General features: G+C 31.0%; 1 protein-coding gene and 1 long non-coding RNA gene across 8 annotated transcripts in view; both read left to right on the forward strand.

Annotated features, from left to right (window-relative positions):
* The window catches only part of KAZN (kazrin, periplakin interacting protein), a 1,225,220-nt gene that overhangs the window by 324,315 nt on the left and 898,546 nt on the right, over positions 1-2,359 (forward strand). The window lies entirely within an intron of this gene.
* LOC107985467 (uncharacterized) overlaps positions 1-2,359 on the forward strand; it is a 53,718-nt gene that overhangs the window by 15,194 nt on the left and 36,165 nt on the right. The window lies entirely within an intron of this gene.

Raw genomic sequence — 2,359 nt, forward strand, 5'->3', positions numbered from 1 at the left:
TGTCAAGATGCAGCAAGAAGACTCTTGCCAGATGCTGACAACTTGATATTGGACTTTCCAGCCTTCAGAACTGTGGGCCAATAAATTTTTCTTCATTATAAATTATCCAGTCTGTGGTATTCTGTAACAGCAACACAAAATGTACTAAGACATAGGTATAATCTTATTTAAAAAATAATAAAGAGTAAAATAGCTTCACAAAAAATTTAAAAATGCTACTAATACAGGCCCATCCCCCTTCAAATAAAAACTACAACCCACTATTTCTAACAAGCTAAAAAAAAAACCTAAGAAAATGTCACATGATGTGGAAAAATACATAATTCCAAATTAGGAAGATTTATAAATGAAGTTATATCACTCAGAAAGGATAAAAATGGAAATTTTTTTAAGGATTTGAGGGAAAGTGACAAATTTAGAAGGCAGTCAAAGGAGATCCAACATACGTATAATAAGGGCTCCAAAGAAAATCAAAATGAGGGAACAAAAAAATACCCAAAACTATAATTTCAAAAGTTTCCCAAAACAATTGTTTAAATTACATATTGAAATTACACACCACATAACTAAGGAAACTGACCCAAAATAACCAACACTGAGAGAAAGTTAATAAAACTATTAGACTTTGAAGAAAAACAAAAATTTAGGCATCCAGGCAAAAAGATCAAATCACTTATAATAGACAATATCAGGCTTTCAGTAGACTTTCCTACAACATTGCTTTATACTGTAAGGAAATAGAATAATATATTTAAGATAATTAAGGAAAGATGTGTGAGCTAAAAATTTTATATCCAACTAAATTGACATTCACATGAAGGGCTCAGGCAAACTCAATGACTTGGAGAATATTTTTCCCATGAGCTTTTTCTGAGGAATTTAGTGAGAGTAAATTCCAATAAACCAAATTAACTAGAGAGTTATTAACATACAGCTTGATACTGAGTGCTATATATATTTATAGTAGAAGAATTGCTAATGCTGAGTCTGTTTCATATATAATGAAATAAATCACATGGGCAATTATGTGATTTTCTAATTCTTGAATCCCCTGTGTTCTCTAGAATCAGTATTCTGGCATGGAAGAAAGTAAATATAAATGCCAGGTAGAAAAGGTCAAGTAAAAATCCTGTGGTACTGAATTTAAATTGGAAGTATCATATACATTGTGAGTTCATACTCGTGTACTGAAAAGGCTTAGAAAGAGAAAGCAACCCAATAGCAATGACATCTCTAGGACCCAGATTATGATCTTGAAATACTATTTCCCACTAAAAGAAAACAGCTATTCTTGGGAAATTAGAGGATTCTAGGTCTGGGCAGAATTTGTACAAGATGAGCCTAGGAGATTGTGTCATACACATACCTCGTTAGCAAGGAAGCTAGAAAACTATTAGGATTATGTCAAAAGGACAAAGGAACTAATGATTTTCCCACTGGACAAAGATCAGACAATTTATGTTCAGTAAGGATAATATTTTCGGTGAACTGAAGCTCAATAAATATGTTTAAATTTATGAATTCATAAGGATAGAAAATAATTTGTCATTTTTGAAAATAATAACCACTTATTTTTTAAACTGGTAAATAATGAGGGCAAAAAATAATCTGTCTTTTCTATATGAGTTTCATCCCTGATAACCAAGCAGTAGATGAGTGAATTTTATCTTTATAGAATTATTTCAACTAATAACTAAATGAAGAATGATTAAATTAGAATATTACTATTTTGCAACTCAGATAAATTAATAGATCTAGGCATTGTACATTTGCTGTTATCATAAGTAAAGACACAACCGTACATCACATGGCTGTGATAGAAGAATACAATACTATTAATATCTCTATAGTTGTCTTGCCAAAAATTAAACCCAATGATCAATCCAGTAGATCCACAGAGATGCAATCAGCAAAATCCAGATAGTAAGAAACTCTATAGGACACACTTGTTTTCTTCAACAAATAAATTACATGAGAAACAAATGTGGAGAGACCAAAGGGTAACCTGTAGACTAATAGAGACATAAAAATAACAGGGGAAATGAAATATAGGGATGTATAATCAGGTGATAAAACTGTAAAGGAAAGCTCAGAAGCGATTGCCATAAAAGTGAGGACAAAGATTACTTTTGAGGGTGTAGGGAAGGGAATTGTTGTTAAAATGATTGTATAGAGGGTTTATGAGGTGTCTGGCAGATTTCTTTGTCTTGATTTGGGTCATGGTTACAAAGTGTTGACCTTATAATAGTTTATTAAACTAAGCATTTATTTAATGCAGTTTTTTGTATCTGTATTATTTTACAACTAATAAGCTTTTTAAAACATATATAATGTACCTTTTTATTAATTTCTCCAATAG

Source organism: Homo sapiens, chromosome 1, assembly GCF_000001405.40.
Source record: "Homo sapiens chromosome 1, GRCh38.p14 Primary Assembly".
In the NCBI taxonomy this organism is placed as follows: Eukaryota; Metazoa; Chordata; class Mammalia; order Primates; family Hominidae; genus Homo; species Homo sapiens.